The following is a 19910-nucleotide window of genomic DNA, read 5'->3' as shown; positions in this document are numbered from 1 at the left end:
CTGACTTCCCAAAACAACATGCCAATGCCACTCCCAGACAGACCAGTATATAAATACCACCTCTCAGTTTTATGAAATGTCGGGCAAGTCTCTTTATTTGGGTTAATTGGGTCTCTGTTGTCTCAGTTAATTGGGTCTCAGGTTATTTGGGTTTCAGTTCCCATGTGGAAAAAGGGAACATTAAACATGATATAAACTAAAATGGTACCCATCACCTAGTTGATGCTTCATGATTTGTGGCTGTTTTATTACTATTGCACCTATTATCTCATTTGGTCCTCACAACATAAAAATACAGCTATTATCAAAGCAGAATCACTGGATTAAAGATATCCAAGTTGATAAAACAGCCAAGATTAGAACACAAATTTCCTGACTCTGAACTCTGGTTCTTTTCATTAGACCTGGCTGTTTCTATAATATCAAGAACACTTTTCCAAAATAAAAAATTACATATCAGTATTACCAATATGATGCAAGATTTCCAAAAATGAAAAATCATATTCTTTAGAAATGGGTGGTTAAAGCTACATGGAAATTTTTATTGGCAGCTTTTAGTTAAAATTAAATCAGAAAATAAATATATTTACCTGTTATCTGAATATTTATACTAAGTATAGAAAAAGTTGAAATTAAAAAGCAACTCCTTTATTTTTAAGCTTTTATTTTATCACTCTTATCAAACACACATCAGAAAGCATTATCAACAGTGCATCTTATGGTAAGTCAGTTTACAACAAAACTGAACAAGGCAATTGTGTTTACAGAAAAAGTCTTCAGCAAAAAAGTATGCAATACAGTCAACTGAAACGCATTGTTCACACTTTTTAGGAATATAGGAAAGTGGAAAATAAAAGTTCTTTGCTATTCAGCAGGAAAGAGTTTAAAAGACTTGAATGGAAATCAGAAATTTAGGGATTTGAGAAAATAACTTTTTGGTACTGACACACATCTACATACATAGTCCCACTTAGTTTTTGTTTTTTCTTTAAAAAAAAAACAAAAGCTCACAAACAATAAGACATCACAAATAATACAGCAGAACCACAGTGCCAAGAAATGCCAAGACCAATATGCTACTGAAACAACTGGTAGAAATGTTACAGACAACTATTCACTATGTATTGTAATATTCTTGTAGTTCTGAGGTGAAGGTAAACCAACAGGAGAGATTACTCCTTGTAACTGGCTTTGGTTTAAGTGATCTTTCACATTTTTTTCTAACCATACCTTCTTATAAAAAATGTAGCAATTACATGTTACTGAGGGAAAATAGTACTAGGTTTTAATATTCACAACCAACTACTCCAGCTGACACAGGATGCCATCAACCATTAAAATTTATTGATCATACTTAGATTTTCTAAGGCTGATCAACAGATAGCAAAGATGGAACCCTTTTGGGAAAAAATAAAATCCCTTCTACCCCAGTTTTGACACTGTTAAGAAGTTATAAAGGAATGTTAAATTATTTAAGATATTTCAAAAAAGAATTAAGAATGGAAGAGTAAATTCTGCTGGAAAAGATAGGGCAGCTTTACAGTCTGCAAAGTAAATAATCTACAGAGATGCAGCTTAACTTTTTTTTATTATAATAAACATACTTATTTCCATAAGGTGCTGTGACTTTGCAGCTAGTGCATACTAATGCCACCCACTGTACCCAATGTGCAAAAGGAAATAATGGAGATGGCTAACCTCCAGTTTTCTGATCCTTGATTTGCATAAGTGGTGATGTACACCAAATACACAAAAGCTGGAGTATAAATATTTATTTTTAAAAATTAGGCCAAACTGAATATAGATATTTAATCTGGTTTCACAAACTCTTAAAATAATTTTCTGAGGAAACAATGATGAGGAATGTGTAGGAAAGGCAATGTTTCTATGCTAGCGGTACCAAACCTGGAACTTTAAGTATCATTTTTTAGCTCATTAACTATATAGAAGATTACTAAGACCAGTAAGGGAGCCATTTTCTTCCCCTCCTCTATTTTTATTACTTATCTCTCTCCTCTTTACTCTTAAAATTGGCAATCTTCTGACAACCCAAGCTAATAAAATAATATAGCTATATATAATTCAAATAACTAAAGAACTTTTGAGTCCATATATGCAGGATTTTTGAATACCTCACTACATTTGCTCTTATACCCTCACTGTCCTGGTATCATAAATATTATTAAGGGAAGATAACTTAGAAGGGGAAAGCAATTCCAACCTGGGATAAAAAAGTGATTACAAATAATTATCTTGTTGATAGTAAGGGCTTATGGTAACAAGTAGCTCTGATTTTTCACATAAAGATCCCCCCCCAAAAAAACAAAATACAAACAATTCCAGTTTTTTTCCCCCAGAATGTGACTTATTTCCATTATACAAAGCAGTATAACAAAATAAGCTCTCTTCTGCACAAAAAACGATTAATGGTTTATAAGACAAATAAGTAGAATGCTTCTCTTTGCCTTTAAATTAAAATACTATGAACCTAGGTAACAAAACATACATGGCTTTCTTCAAAAGGGCCACAAGATTTCTTCTGGTTATTGTGACAGCTACCCAATTTAATGGGAAATAACACTCAAGCAGTCATTTGGTAAGTTTCCCATGAATTTCAGCATTTACAGTGCCACAAACACAACTGCCACAATTATGACAACTCTCTGAAAAGCACAAATAAAGCAAATTTAAAACATTAATCCTCATAAGCAGTACAAGGCAGAACAAAAGTGCTGAGTGGTAGGAAAATGAATAAAAATTTCCTATCAGGAGAATAAAGTTTGTGTAAACTATCTTATATCCTGAAGATCACTTTAATGACCACCTATAAAATACAAAGTTTCCTAAATACTCTCTGATTTATAGATATTTCTCTTACAGTCCACTGCTCCTATAAAATTACAGCAAAAAATATTAAAATTATTTACCTTCTTCTTAAATATCCATGGCACTTGTCAAGTACATGCTACTGTGAATCTACTGGTCATTATATAATTTAAAAATAGTGAAAAACATCTGAGGGAGGTGGCTACAATAACGAACATGACATATCCTATAGTATTAGGCAGAGAAGCTATCCTAAAACAAAATGAAACAAAATCTTTACAATTCTGGGTACTCCAAAAACTAAAATATCCATGTTCTTCTGTGATTAAGAATGGGACTTATCTTAATATACCACAAGAGGCTCAGCTCTGTATGATGGAGACAACATTTTTATATTCATCAAGAAAGCTAGTAAGTAATACTAACTTGAAAAACTACCATCTCAAAATAAAGGTGATTGACTGAGCACCTTAAGAAATGGGGATTCTTTTGAGCTAATTGTGACCAAGTACTTGTCTATATGTGACCATAATTGACAAGAAATGAAATTATATCACAGAGCTACAGTAGTAAAATTTGATGAAGGAACCTGATATTAAAAACAGAACTAGAGATCCAAGGAAGAATTAAATTCTGCCAGACAATTCTGGCTTTTCCATCATATATAATATTGGAATAAAATCAAATATGAATAGTTTTACATATACAAAAAAATAAGGTAAACCAAGGCTATTTCCAGGCAGACAGTGAATATATATATGAAAAATAAAACAAAGGTAAACCCAGAAAATTTTGGACTTTTATACTATCATATGTGACTCAATCTAAAAGTTACTCCAGGAAAAAGGCAGAAGTGCTATTAATTATCATCATCTGGGAAGCTTTCACCCAAATGAGTTTTAATATTTTCCAGCAAACACAAGGCACTTGCTTAAATCTTTATCTACACAGCCATCAGACTCAAAGTCATGATGTGATTCCAATGTACCCGAATCTGAATAAAGCCACCTAGCATGTACCCCTGCATAAGTGTCTAGGTAAATAGATGGTTACTGAGTGTCTCCCCTACTCCTTCACCCAGTAACTATGTTGTTACAATTACTATCATTTACAATGGTGCTGATTTTCATTAAATTAACTGTAAAAAAAAAAAAAAGTCATGCTGCCAAGTATACTGATAGTAGAACTTATGTGTAAGATAGGCCTAACAGTCAGAAAATAAGACCTAAAACAAAAAGATACCCAAATGTTAGTTATCTGCATGATAAATTAACTAAAACAAGCCATGAAACAGCATCTGATAAGTGCTCTAACTCCGCCTTTTATTCCAGAAAAGTAACTGATGCCCTTACCAGAGTGAAGGTCCAGTGTAATAAGACAGAAAAAAGCCTTCTGCCCATGGTTTCTCTTCAGCTTTCTCTATATGGCAGCATTCCTTATAATAAACTTGCTCAATAGTTAAAATATAAGCAACATGAATCTAGAAGACAAGTTAAATAAGTATTTGGAGATTTTCTTTTAAAAAATAATTTAACATATCTCAGCACTCTTTAGCAGCTGGAGTACCAAAAAGAAGGCAATATTTCTCTCAATAAAAACAAAGAGAAGTTCGAGTAAAACCATACTTATGGTTTTTGTTCTAAAAGCAGCCAGTTTGGCTCAAGGCATAGCAGAAAGGGAATCCCTCTAAAGAGAGCTGCTATATTGGTGGCCACAAAAAAGGAAGACATCCAGTGGTAATAAATGCGGATCTCTTATTGCAAGAGAATAGTTTTAAAAATTCCTTTAAAAGGCAGTCAGTACTTTTAGTTAATGCTGTCTCTTACTGAGGTGTCCAACTCTACTTGTTTTTGTCCTGTAAATACAGCATTAGTTTTGACAGTGGCTAGCTAGCTACCCCCTCCAAATATATTTCAAAAGAATCAAGTATTTCCCACAAAATAATCACTGTATGTGCCTTTTCTGGGTGTACAATGTGCCACAGTAATACCCCAAAGAAGTAACTGGGAAGGTGAGAGGCAAGGAAGCACAGGTATTAATTTAGGGAATGAAACACTACCTGAGACAAAATTTGCCCAAAAGGGTAGGGGTTAAGTGACATGAACCCTCACCTCTTTACCCTTTCTCTCAAAAAGAAAATTTCTAGGTCTTTCAATAACTTCAATAAACCAAAATCCCTATGTATATATTTCATCCTAATCATGAAACTTGTATCTTTTGATATTTGGTTCAGGTTTAAGAAAGATAATATCACAGGAGGGAGGGGTAATCTGCTAATGTGATCTTTGGTAGAACGGGCTAAGAGCTATAAAATAATTTCAATCACAGGAGGCATTTCTTTTTCAATTCTCTGGCTTTAATATAAAACATCTAGCCAGGTGTGGTGGCAAGCGCCTGTAAACCCAGCTACTGGGGAGGCTGAGACAGGAGAATCGCTCAAACCTGCGAGGCAGAGGTTGCAGTGAGCCGAGATTGAGCCACTGCACTCCAGCCTGGGCAACAGAGCAAGACATCATCTCAAAACAACAACAACAACAACAAAAAATCTAATTAAATGCATGGTTAATTCAAGGCTCATCAATTATTCCCTCAGCTCCCTTAAAATCTAGTAACCATCTTCTGTAACAAAATTCTACAGTGTCAAGCACTAAATATATGTATGAATGTATCAGCAATAAGATGACAATCAAAGAATGCTGTGAAGATTGGCATCAAGATGTTAGCAGCATACTGCAGGACTAGGCTTAGAAGCCTACCTGCAGTTTATTTGTAAGGATTTTTCTTTTGGGGGCGGAGGGGAGAGAAAAGTAAATGTGCTAACTTAGGATACTTGCCCTTATAAAGAATTCCTTTGTATCCCATGTTCATCGTATTTAAGGACCTGATGTTTCTAATCACCACAAAATCTGCTACCCATATGAACATTTAGGAAAGTTTAGGTCTTCACAATACGGGTTCTGCCCACTTGAATTCTGACTTGAAAACAAACCAATTTATAATCAACTCCTGAAAGGGCCAAAATAAAAAATAATAGTTCTTCCTTCTAAGGGCATGTATTGGGGAACATGCCACAAGACCCTTTGGTAATTCATAAATCAGCCTCCTTATGCCAAATTTGGTTTCATAATAAACATTAAAGGAGAGTCCTGAATTTGACAATTATAAATAACTAAAATGTCAAACAATAATTGTTTGAATGGGGTAAAGTATTTCATTCTGTAAAATGCAAATTCTAACTGGACTCTCAGCAACCTGCATGGCAAACATAAGGAAATATGAGGAGGCTTCCAGCAGGGAAAGATAGAAGACTTTTTCCTTAGGAAAAAATAAATAAATAAAAAAATTAATAACCTGTATATAACTTGTCTTTTTTTTTTGGTATAATCAGTGCTTCATAAAGGCATCCTAATTTTTATATCTTTAAAGACAACCTACCATGAAATAAGAAGAATCCATAATTATAATTCTAAAAACCATGTAATCAACTTGTGTCCATGAACTCACGCATAGCAGCATCCTCTACTCAGGGACACATTATGTTGCTATGAATCCTTTTAAGAATTCTTTGAGTTTTTCTTCCTTTCTACTTCTACCTCATTATATCTACACCTTTCTTAACTACCTTGCAGTCAAAAGCCAAACTACCTGGGATGCTGCTCCTCTAGTTTGTCTTCAGCTAAGGATAGAGGCAAAGAATGAGGGAAGGGGAGGAAAAAGGGAGCAGGGATACGAGAAACAGAAAGGAAGAAAAAAGAATCCTTTTATTTTCCACCCTCTCTTCGCCCATTTTTTTTCTTTTCCCTTCACTGTACATCTAATTCTTTTGACCCACTTCAATTTTCATCATAGTAGGTAGAGCCACATCTTGAGAAACCTTAAAACTATAGATTTACTACAAAAAAGATGAGCTAATACAAAGTCTAAAGTAAACTAAAAGAGGGGTTGATTTACATCTGGCACAACTTAGTCTTTGTTCCAATCATTTTAGAAGTCTCAATTTAACTCCAGGCTAGACTCCAGTTTGTTCTGGGCCTCTCAGGAATTATGTTTTGTCATTTACATTGTATCAGACAGACTACCTCTCAAAAAATGTATATCTTAAATCTTACGGATGTGAAACAGGTAGGGAAGAAATAAGTATAGACTGTATTAGCTCACAGGATTCACACTATAAAGTACACTGACTCAAATTTTCTCTAATCATTCATACTCGCACATTCACTCAAGCATACATACTAGACATAAAAATTGTGCAAGATCAAGCATCAGCTTTCTATTTTAAAAGCCTTAATTTAAAAAAACTTAGATAGGCTCACTGCAGTTCCTTTAAAGGAATATTCAGTACTACAGTACTGCTTTAAGAAAAAATTCACAACTCAGTGTTAAGAACACAGTAGGTAACTGCTGCTTGACAATTACTTAACATTACTGAGAGCATCCAGTGCCAGCTTATGGATATCAACAATAAGGAAGAACCACTGGACAACATAAAGAAATAATCTGTAAATGATGTCACCAAACCTAACAAATTTGTTAGTATTTACCAAGACATGATATTATTCATCCTTGCTTCATGATCCATGAAATAATTAAGATTTTTTTAGGCTACATACTGAAGAGCAACACCTGCTCTCCCGCACAAAAAAGGGTTGCCCACATGGATGCTCTAAAACCCCTCAATGTATAGCTGAGAGGTCTTGTCCTACTCAGTGCCAAATGTATGCAACGCAGTCACTGCTTGGGCAATGGCTGCACATTAGTAGGATTAAATAAATGTATAAAGTACCTTCTTAAAATGGTAAGGGGGTAGTCCTGCATTCATATGTGGAATAACCCAAGAAATGGAAGAGGAGAAAAAGGAAACAGTCCTTAGGTTACTGATTAAAGCAAGGTTTGATACAGATATCCCCTCTTGTAGGCACTCAGCGGGTAGAATGTAGCCACAACAAACTTCCCATCAAACATCCTTCCAGTCAGTAATTTCTGCGCAGCTTTGGAATCACCAGCATTTGCATACTCAACAAAGACCTGAAAGAAGACAGAGAAAAAAACATTTCATTTCCACCAAGATTGTTTTAGACCAGTGCTTTACCACCTTTAATATATATACATCAACTGGAGATGTTATTAAAATGCAGATTTTGCTTCCTTAGGTCTGAGATGTCGCCTGAGTTTCTGTTCTAAACAAACTTCCAGGTGATGCCAATGCTGCTGGTCTATGAACTATACTTCAGGACAGCAAGGTTTAGAATACTTCCTCACAACTCAGCTCAACTTTGAAAAATCTCTCAAGGACAAGTTGTGTGAATCATGTACAATCTTTTGCTAAGGTCGTTACAGGAGTGATGAATAACACTAGACATCTGCCAAAGATACGGCTGAATAGCTCAGACAGCAACTGCATTTCAATGGTACCTGGATGATAATCTGTACTTTTAGCAGTGAAAAAGGAAAAAATATTGGTCAAAAGCTGCTGGAAATTGCACCTATTAGGAAGTACAATTTGGCTGGGTGCAGGGGCTCACTCCTGTAATCTGAGCACTTTGGGAGGCCAAGGCAGGTGGATCACGAGGTCGGGAATTCGAGATCAGCCTGACGAACACGGTGAAACCGTGTCTCTACTAAAAATACAAAAATTAGCTGGGCAAGGTGGCACACACCTGTAATCCCAGCTACCCAGGAGGCTGAGGCAGGAGAATCACTTGAACCCGGGAGGCGAAGGTTGCAGGGAGCTGAGATTGCGCCACTGTACTCCAGCCCGGGCAACAACAGAGCAAGACTCCATCTCAAAAACAAACAAACAAAATCTAACTGGGCGTGATAGCACATGCCTGTAATCCCAGCTACTTGGGAGGCAGAGTTGGGAGGATCACTTGAGCTCAGGAAGTCGAGGCTGCAATGAGCCAAGATCACGACACTGTATGTGCTCCAGCCTGGGTGACAGAGCAAGACCCTGTCCCCTCCCTGACCCCACCCCAAAAAGGAATAATGAATCTATTCCTGATTTTTTTTTTACCTGATTCTTAATTATGCCCAAACCTATAGAGCAAAGTTCGATAAATGAGTAGACATGCATTTATAGAAGGAATATCATGTTTTCTATCATACTCCTTGCTTCAGATAGGCTATACTTTTCTATACTACACCATCCCACACTAAGAAAGGCATCTTATTTTTATAAATTATGAAATTAATAGGGCTGTATCATTTTAATTCTGATTATTTTTATAATTGCATTATCAGATGCATTCATTATTTTTCAGTGTTTTTTGTAACATTCCTTATAAAATCATGTTTGCTTGAATTAAAAATTCAAATGAAGAATGGCTTCGACAACTAGGTAATGGACATTTTCAAAAGCCTAGATAGATTAAATCTGTGATTCCAAGAGTTTATCAAAAGCTGCTTTCACTCTCCTTTAAATGTCAGTGAAAACTTCTCAAAATAGCAACTTTCCTCTCACTGATACTTTTTTCATATCATCTTAAACCTGGATACTTCTCTCTGGAAAAGACTTCTCCTGTCTCTCTATTCTGTATCTTCCACTTCATTTTGACCACTGGGGCTAATATTGAGTCAGATCATGTCAGTCCTTCATTCGAAATCTTCCAATACCTCGCCCTAGTTCAGAATAAAAGCCAATGTAATCTCAATACTCTACCCAGCTCACTCTACTTAATAAGCCCCCTACCACTCCCTAATCTCTCTGATCTAATCTCCTACTATTCTTCTTTCTCACTCTGCTACAGCCACATTGGCCTCCTCAAATCTGCCAGGAATACTCAGGGCCTTGGATCTTGCTGTTCCTTTTGCCTAACATTCTCTTCCTCGCTTCCCTCAAATCTTGATTCATATGACCTTCTCAGATGTCCTTCCCTACTAACCCATTTAAAAGTGCAACCCACCCTACCTACCCCAGCACTCCTTAAGTTTCTTCCTTAATCTGTTTTTCTCCCTAGCACTTATCACCACACTTTTAAAAATCTGATTTGACCACTTTTACAATGGGTACCTAGAACATAATAAATGCTCAATAAATATCAGTTAAATGACTAAACAGCAAGGATACAATTATACATATTAGTATTCAGTACGTGATACTAAATGTAAAACTATTATCACTAGTTTGGCAATAACTTTTCATTAGGACTAGAATAAAACTGTGCTCATATTTTTGTTTTCATATTTTTTCAGTTGTCAGGAATGTTCATAATACTAAGCTATTAAGATAAAATTATAGCTGGGCACAGTGGCTCACGCCTTTAATCCCAGCACTTAGGGAGACTGAATCGGGTTGGATCTCTTGAATTCAGGTGTTCAAGACCGCCCTGGACAACATAGCAAAACCTCGTTTCTACAAAAAATTAGCCAGGTGTGGTGGCACATGTGCTTGTAGTTCCAGCTACTCGGGAGGCTGAGGCAGAAGGATCACTTGAGCCTGGAAGGTAGAGGTTGCAGAGAGCTGAGACTGCACCACTGCACTCTAGCCTGGGAAACAGAGTGAGACCCTGTCTCAAAAAAAAGATACAATAAAATAATCCACCACCAGAGATGACTTCACCCCCTAGAGGACAGACATCTGGCAGTGTCTAGAGACATTTTTTTTGTTCAAAGTGGGTAGAAATCAGGAAAGCTGTTAAACGTTCTATAGTGTAGAGGACAGCTACTCCAACAAAAGAATTATCAGGCTCAATGTCAATAGTGTCAAGAATGAGAAACCCTAAGGTAAAGCAAACCAAAATTCTATCTCTCAAAAAATAAAAATACTACAAATAAATATCTTCTTACATTCTTTGTCATATAATTTAATTTGGAATTAGAGTTTCTAAAGAAAATGCGGTGATAACAGTTTTAGCCCACACATTTTAAAGATGAAGAAAATGAGGATCATCACAAAGCTAATCATATTGAGGCTAGAACTCAGGTTCAAGAATTCTCAGTCCAGCACACTTTCCTTCTTTAAACTATCACTGATAGTTTCTATTACAATTAGAACCTAACCTAATTGGCTTTCTAACTCTACCTAATTAGAACAAAATTAGACTAAAACATTTCTCCAGCTGAACCTGAAATAAAGCATGATTTAGCAGTTGGTGTTACTGTTTTTTTTTTTTTTAAGATGGAGTCTCGCTCTGTCACCCAGGCTGGAGTGCCATAAAGCAATCTCAGCTTGCTGCAGCTCAGCCTCCCAAGTTCAAGCAAATTTCCTGCTCAGCCCCCTGAAGAGCTGGGACTATAGGCACCTGCCACCACATCTGGCTAATTTTTGGTATTTTTAGTAGAGAGGGGGTTTCACCACGTTGGCCGGGCTGGTCTCAAACTCCTGACCTCAGGTGATCCACACGCCTCGGCCTCCCAAAGTGCTAGGATTACATGCATGAGCCACCTCACCTGGCCTGGTGTTACTGTTTACAGTGGCTCAAAAGTAGTTTTTTTTTTTTTTGAGATGGAGTCTCACACTGTTGCCCAGGCTGGAGTGCAGTGGCATGACCTCCACTCACTACAACCTCCACCTCCCAGGTTCAAGCGATTCTCCTGCCTCAGCCCCTCCAAGTAGCTGGGATTAGAGGCATGCGCCACCATGCCCAGCTAATTTTTTGTATTTTTAGTAGAGAAAAGGGTTCACCATGTTGGCCAGGCTGGTCTCAAACTCCTGATCTCGTGATCCGCCTGCCTCGGCCTCCCAAAGTGCTGGGATTATAGGCGTGAGCCACTGCGCCCAGCCAAAAGTAGTTTTTTTTTTTGAGATGAAGTCTCACTCATTTCTCCTGGCCCAGGCTGGAGTGCAGTGGCAGGATCTTGGCTCACTGCAACCTCTGCCTCCTGAGTTCAAGTGTTTCTCCTGCCTCAGCCTCCCAAGGAGCTGGGATTACAGGCATGTGCCACCACGCCTGGCTAACTTTTGTATTTTCAGTAGAGACAGGGCTTCACCATCTCTGAACTCCTAACCTCAAGTAATCCACCCACCTCAGCCTCCCAAAGTGCTGGGATTACAGGCGTAACCACCACACCCAGCCAATATTTAAAAAAAAAAAAAATTTTAAGTGCTAAAAAAATGCAAGCATATTATAGAACTTTTAGAAGAAGTAAAAAGTACAAGTCAGAATATAAAAATCATTAAAATGCAAAACTCATAATCCTTAGCAAAATTTTGTTGTACATCTTCCTACAGAACTAAAACATTTAACACAGAATTTTAATAACCTCTGAGTAATCTGCAATTATGAAAATATTCACTTACTTGTCCTCTGCCAGGATTTTCCTTTGGAACAAGTAGAGATACCACTGGTCCATATTTTTGACACTCCTCTTTTACATCTTCTACAACATCTGATTATTAAAACACATAACAGTAACTGCTCTGATATAATAAACAAGTATTCAACATTTTAAATTTTTTAATCATCAAAGAATTCAGGAATACATAACTAGTAATGAGGTCATTTTATGTCTTGAATAGTTGACATTCAAATGATTCAAAATTATAAATAATAGTCTTCCACCTTCTACTCTCCTTGAAGGCAACACATAGTATCAGTTTCTTTTCTTTTTTTTTTTAGACAGAGTCTCGCTGTCCCCCAGGCTGGAGTGCAGTGGCGTGACACTGCAACCTCCGCCTCTCGGGTTCAAGCGATTCTTCTCCCTCAGCCTCCCGAGTAGCTGGGACTACAGGCGTGCACCACCACACCCAGCTAATTTTTGTATGTTTAGTAGAGATGGGGTTTCACCATATTGGCCAGGCTGTTCTCGAACTCCTGGTTTTGTGATCCGCCCACCTCAGCCTCCTAAAGTGCTGGGATTACAGGCGTGAGCCACTGCGCCTGGCCAATTTCTTCTGTATTCTGCCATTATTATAAACTTATATACAAGCAAATATGAAATTATAAAAATACCTTGCTTTTTATATTAAATATGTCCTTTAAGATATTTCCAAATTATCACATAAAATTTTCTCATTTGTTTTAATGGTTATGAAATATTTTATTCTATGAATATTCAATATATTATATACTATGTCCAGTACTGATTAGACAATTTCCAAACTTTTACCATTAAAAACAGTACTGCAATAGATAACCCCCCTATGCATATCTCATTTCATTTGTGTATTTCTTTCTTTCCTTTTTGTTTTTTGAGATGGAGTCTTGCTCTGTTCCCAGGCTGGAGTGTAGTGGCACGATCTCGGCTCACTGCAACCTCCACCTCCCGGGTTCAAGTGATTCTCCTGCCTCAGCCTCTCAAGCAGCTTGGATTATAGGCATGTGCCACCATGCCCAGCTAATCTTTGCATTTTTAGTAGAGACAGGGTTTCACCACGTTGGTCAGGCTGGTCTCAAACTCCTGACCTCAGGTGATCCATCTGCCTTGGCCTCCCAAAGTGTTGGGATTACAGGCGTGAGCCACTGCGCCCAGCCTCACTTGTGTATTTCTAAGTTGACATTCTAGAAATAGAAATGCTGGGTCAAAATTGACATAAATTTATAATTTTTCCAATTTGCTTTCCATAAAAGTTTACCAATGTAAACTTTCTCTAGTAATGTACAAAAATGTTTCCTTATACCCTTACCCACAAGAGGATAATCAAATGTTTCATCACTGTCAATGTGTTTGATGGGTAACAAAGATATTGCAGTTTGGCTCTAATTAGCATTTCAATAATAATAGAGAGTAAAAGCATATGTGTAAAATACTTGTCTACTTCCTTTTCCATAAACTGTAATAAGAGCTATAAATATTTTTTCTTTAAACTATAAATATTTTTTCTTTAAACTATCCTTTGTCTTTTAATCTTTCTTAGGGTGATTTTTGTCAGGGTTGATTTTGTTCAATGCTTATTATACTGCTTCTGAGTTTTTTGCCATATTCAAAAAAGGCCTTTCCAACTTCAGGAATATTAAAACACAAAATTCTACGATGTCTTTTTATATTAAAAAAGTATCTCCTTCCTACCTGCCCTACTTCCTTCCCTCATCCCTTTCTTTTTTCCCTTCCTCCCTACTTCATTCCCTTGTTTTAGTATTTTAATCTATACTTGATTTGAAATTTAATTTGGTCTATAATGTAAGGTTTAACTTCCTTCCCTGCCTCTATCAAGATTACAAGACAGCTGTTCCAACACATACCATAATTTCTAGCTAAGAAACTTGTTATTTCATGATGACCCTGTTCATCAGAAGTAACAAAGGTATTTAATGGTACCGTATTGTCTGCTGCACTTTGGTTCACTTCAGATTCTTAAACACTAAGATTCAATAGCAACATTTAAACAAAATTTAAAGACTCCGTGTATTTAAAAGTGGAAAAAAAGTCACAGCAAGATAGAGGAGGAGGGTTATATGGTTGTCTAAAGGTTTATTCAAAAACAGGCCAAGCTTCAGTTTTGTTGTTTTTTTTTTTTGAGACGGAGTCTCGCTCTGTTGCCTAGGCTGGAGTGCAGTGGTGCCACCTCGGCTCACTGCAAGCTCCGCCTCCCGGGTTCATGCTATTCTCCTGCCTCAGCCTCCCGAGTAGCTGGGACTACAGGCGCCCGCCACCACGCCCGGCTAATTTTTTGTATTTTTAGTAGAGACCAGGTTTCACCATGTTAACCAGGATGGTCTCGATCTCCTGACCTCGTGATCCATCCGCCTCGGCCTCCCAAAATGCTAGGATTACAGGCATGAGCCACCACGCCCGGCCAAGCTTCAGTTTTAAAGAGATAAAAATTATTAGGAGTAGACAGAATGAGGTGATGAAGACAGCAGGTCTTTACAAAGACGAAGACTAAAAGGACCTAAGTAGTATTCTGAACTGATTCCAAGAAATTCAGAGCCATTGTACCTTCGTAACCTGAAACAATGCTGAGGGCAAGACTTTCTTTCAGACAGACAACCTGAAAACTCAAGACTCTTAAAATGGTCACAGACTCAAAGAAATTACAGTTCTCTCACTACACTGTAGGGATATGAAATCATTTACAAGAGGTACTGTCATATAATTAGCCTTATCTGTAACATTTTAATTTTCTACAAGGAGAATATTTAATATTAAGCAATTGATATTTTTAAATAGAAAAATAAGAGCTTTAGAGATATACAGACCTAAATATCTGGCTTTAAAAATATTTACTAGCTTTGTGAATAAACCTAAGTTTACTTCCATTATCTATAAACTGGAAAAATAACTACTACCTCTCAAATAATATATATAAAGTACTAGGCACAAAGTAAGTGTTAAGCCAGAGAACAAGAAACAAAGTAAAAGGAAAAGGAAACATAAAATAAAGCTTTCTGTTTGCTGTTTTAAATTTTTTTCTATTTTAAATATTAAGAGGACATAAAACTGATATAATTTATGGGCAGAAGATAGAGAAATTAAAAATAGGTCAAGAGTCTAGAGGATATTTGAGCATCATTTGTTAGCAAAATAATAGTTAAGACCTGAAAGTAAATAAAATAATAGGAAAAAATTAGAGAAGTCCAAAATTGAGTGCTGAAGGACATATACAGAAAACATTTGGTTACTATGCAGGAACATCACTAACTTCCTACCTACTTTTACTTATAACTTACGTAACTTAGATACAGCCACACCAAAATTCTTTCTCTTCCAACCTATTTCAGTGAGTACAGGAGGTATTCCTCTTGTCCAAAATGAATCCCCAAGGTCTGCTTTTTCTCTTTTATTCCTTACCTCTTTAACTAGGACCACCATCTGCCAAGTGGTTTAATTCAGATGCCTCATGCAAAACCCCAACCTGCCTCACTTCTTGCTCTCATATCCACTTAGTCACTGCATTTAGATAGATTGGCTCCTTGCAAATTATTTCTCCTTCCTTCTTTCCTTCCTTCCTACAATAAATATTTGAGTGCCTACTGTGTGTCAGTGCTATTAATATAGCAATAAACAAAACAAACCAGATTGTATTCTAGTGGTTAATAATAGGTAATATTTGTTGAGTGTTTACTATTTGCCAGGCATGGTTCTAGGAAATGTTTATACATTATTTAATTTTCACAACAACTCTACAAGATAGGTACTATTTATTATCTCCATTTTATAGATGAGGAAACTATAGTTTCCTTCTTTTGCAAAAAACTGCAAAGAAGCTAGTAAGTGAGAGACATCATGTAAACTCAGTCTACCCTCTTTTTTTTTTTTTTCCAGAGATGGTCTCACTCTGTTGCCCAGGCTGGAGTGCAGTGGTGCAATCTCGGGTCACTGCAACCTCTGCCTCCTGGGTTCAAGTGATTATCCCACCTCAGCCTCCCGAGCAGCTGGGATTATAGGCATGTGCCACCACGTCCAGCTAATTTTTGTTAAGCCTACACTCTTAACCGCTACACAAAATTGTCTCTCTAGTACTAGTAACAATAGGTTGATGCAAATGCTTCACAACTGTTGTCCTTGGTCTAAGTTTGGCCCTGTTTTAGTCCACTCCCTCTCTGTTTCCAAAATGTCCCTACTAAAATACAGGTTTGACTATGTCATTCTCCAATTTAAAATTATTTAATAAACTCCTTACTGCATTCAACAAAGAACAGATAGGTATTGAATACTTAATCATAAACTAGATATTATTCTATACCTGACGCAAAGTTCTTCACATATCTGTATTTTGGTGTTACTATCTCTCGGATAAAATCCAAATTCTTAAACATAGCAAACTCGTCTGTACTCTGGCTACCTCGTTAGCTTTAACTGATTGCTCCCCAACAAATATCTTAAGATACAGTCATACCAATTTGCTGTTTTCTGACACTTTCATATCTATGTGTTTGTGCTACTTACTTCCTAACCCCTCAACTTTTAGTCAAGCAACTCCAAATTACTGAGCTCAGATATAACGTCTGTAGAGAAGCATTCACCAGTTACTAAGATTGGGTTAAGTACTTGTCCTTTCTGCCATTGTATAGTACCCTATCTTCAGATTATCACAACTATAATTGTTTATGTAGCCGTATCCCCTACTATACTAAAGACGGGAAGTAATCCCACAACAGCACATAGTAAATACTCAGTTAATATGTCTTAAATGAATGAATGTTAAAAGCAAAAAAGAGAGCTAAAATGGAGAAATGCAAGCATAGGGAAAGGCTAGAAGAGACAGACCAGAGAGATAGAAGTTGTTGGGAAAATTAATCTTCTTCATTAACTGGGTAAAGATGAAACGTAAAAGAGTCAAAAGGACATTATGAATTAAAAAGTGAGAGGGCTGGGCACAGTGGCTCACACCTGTAATCTCAGCACTTTGAGAGGCTGAGGTTGGTGGATCACCTGAGGACAGGAGTTCGAGACCAGCTGACCAATATGGTGAAACCCCGTCCCTACTAAAAATACAAAATTAGCCAGGTCTGGTGGCACATGCCTGTAATCTCAGCTACTTGGGGGGCTGAGGCTTGAACCCAGGAGGCAGAGGTTGCAGTGAGCTGAGATCGTGCCACTGCACTCCAGCCTGGGCAACAAGAGTGAAACTCCGCCTCAAAAAGATAAAAGTGAGAGTATATTAGAGATCATATTGTTCAATATTCTCATTAGATAAATTGAGAAATATGAAAATGTTACGGATATGTTTATTCTAGACTTATTTAAGAAAGACACATTAAAATATAATTTAGAAAACACTAACCTTCATATTCCTCTTCATTCTCAAGATAATCATCATCCAGCACATTCAGCAGTCTTAGCACTGGAGTGGGAAGCATGACCAGATCTTCAATATGAGGGGCTGTTAAAATTCATCATAATATGGTTAAATGTAAATCCCCCCAAATAAGTTGAACACCAGATAAAGGAACTTGTGAATATAAATTAGTGCTGATGTCTTGTATGACTGTCAAATGACCAAGAAAAAAATAAAAGAATACACAACTTACCAAAAGGAATGCTAAAGAATGGGCTGCACAATGCCATTTCAGCAGGAATTCTTCTGCTTGGATCATCATGAAGCATGCTAAAACACAAAAATAGGTGCCTTATCATTTCTGCTGAATCTTTTGAAAATGCAACCATTAAAGAAAGTAAGAATGTCTGAATGTTCATCACAGCATTAATTATATTAGCATGATTTATTGAATCATTCACTTATAAATACAAATGCTATTTATTAGTAAATGGTTTAGTAATTCATGATACATACCTATGACATTATACTGTGATTTAAAATAACACTTTTGATTAATAAATGAAACACTGCAAAGTGATCCACACTCTGTAACAGTGAGTGACAAAAAAGACACAGATTTAGGGTAACACAATTAAAAAAAAAAGATATCGGTGGGATGATTGTTGAATCTCATCAAATTTCTCTAATAATAAAGCAACTAGATAGCAAAACCAAAAACCCATGGACAATATCTATAACAAAAACCATAAGGACACCCTAAATAGCCAAAATAATCTTGAGAAAAAAGAACAAGGCTGGAAGCACTATACTACCTGACTTCAAAAAAGTTCTATGAAGCTACAGTAACCAAAACAGCATGGTATTGATATGAAAACAGACACACAGACTGATGAAACAGATCAGAGAGCCCAGGGAAAAAAAAATATTTACAACCAACTGATTTTCAACAAAGGTGCCAAGAAAACACAATGGGGAAAGGACAGTATTTTCAATAAACGGTGCTGGGAAAAACTGGATATTAACACGCCAAAGAATAAAATTAAACCCTTATCTCTGACCTACACAAAAATCAACTCAAAATGGATTAACAATTTAAATGTAAGACCCAAAACTACTAGAAGAAAACAAGAGAAAAGCTGCACAACATTGTTCTGAGCACTGAATTTTTGAATATAACTTCAACAGCACAAGCAACAAAAACAAAAACAGACAAATGGGATTATATCAAACTAAAATCCTTCTGCACAGCCAAGGAAACAATGAACAGGGTGAAGAGACAACTTACAGAATGGGAGAAAATATTTACCAACTATACATCTGCTAGGGGAGTAATATACAAGATATATAAGGAACTCAATTTGGCTGGGTGTGGTAGCTCACATCTGTAATCCCAGAACTTTGGGAGGCAGAGGTGGGAGGACTGCTTGAGCCCAGGAGTCCGAGACCAGCCTGGGCAACATGGCAAGATCCTCTCTCTACAAAAAAATTTAAAAATTAGCTGGTGTGGTGGCATGCATCTGTAGTTCCAGGATCACTTGACCCTATGAATTCAAGGCTGCAGTGAGCCATGTTTACACCACTGCACTACAACCTTGGCAACAGAACGAGACCCTGTCTCAAAAAAAAAAAAAAAAAAAGAAAAAGAAAAAAGAAAAAAAGAGCTCAAATAACTTTATAGCAAGGAAACAAATAGCCCAATTAAAAAATGGGCAAAAGACCTGAACAAACATTTCTCAAAAGAACACATAAAAATAGCCAACAGTATATGAGAAATGCTCAATATCGCTAATCAACAGGAAAATGAAAAACCAAAACCACAATGAGGTATCACCTCATACCTATTACAATAGCTATCATCAAACAGACAAAAGACATAAAGAAAAGGGAATCCGTACACATTGTTGGTGGGAATATAAATTAGTAAAGCCATTATGGAAAGTAGTATGGAGGCCCCTTAAAAAAAATTTTTAAAAAAGAACTACCAGCAATCCCACTACTGGGTATATATCCAAAGGAAATGAAATCAGTATGATGAAGAGATACCTGTAGGCCCACGTTTGTTGCAGCACTATTCACAATATACAAGATATGGAATCAACCTAAGTATCTATTAACAGATAAGTGTTCATTTCTTGCATGTTAGCTTAAAAAAAAAATTAAAAAACAGATGTGTAAAAAGTAAAAAAAAAACAAAAAACACAGATGAGTAAAAAAAGAAAATATGATATATATATACACAATGGAATACTATTCAGCCACTGAAAGGAGCAAATCCTGTCATTTTCAACACAGATGAACCTGTAGGGCATCATGTTAAGTGTTATAATAAGCCAGGTCCAGAAAGACAAATACAGCATGATCTCACTCATATGTGAATTCTAAAAAGTGTTGATGTCACAGAAGTAGAGAGAAGAATGGTGTTACCAGAGGCTGGGTGGGGGCGTTAGAGGAGAGAGGAGTTTGGGGAGACATTGGCCAA

The 19910-nt window shown here is 36.7% G+C and overlaps 1 protein-coding gene across 3 annotated transcripts in view; it reads right to left on the bottom strand.

Annotated features, from left to right (window-relative positions):
• The window catches only part of UHMK1 (U2AF homology motif kinase 1), a 32458-nt gene continuing 13174 nt past the window's right edge, over window positions 627–19910 (bottom strand). Inside the window, exons 5-8 of one of the 3 annotated variants that reach the window (NM_175866.5) lie at window positions 17682–17758; window positions 17435–17533; window positions 12068–12156; window positions 627–7854 (exon numbers count right to left, since the gene is read on the bottom strand). In NM_175866.5, the coding sequence (NP_787062.1) occupies window positions 7708–7854; window positions 12068–12156; window positions 17435–17533; window positions 17682–17758 (412 nt within the window). In that variant the 3' untranslated portion in view covers window positions 627–7707. The remainder of the gene's footprint in view (window positions 7855–12067; window positions 12157–17434; window positions 17534–17681; window positions 17759–19910) is intronic. The other 2 variants (NM_001184763.1, NM_144624.2) reach the window with 2 other exon arrangements.

Source organism: Homo sapiens, chromosome 1, assembly GCF_000001405.40.
Source record: "Homo sapiens chromosome 1, GRCh38.p14 Primary Assembly".
Lineage (NCBI taxonomy): Eukaryota > Metazoa > Chordata > Mammalia > Primates > Hominidae > Homo > Homo sapiens.
Note: the sequence above shows the minus strand (reverse complement) of the source record. Positions and strands in the feature narration are given on the sequence as shown.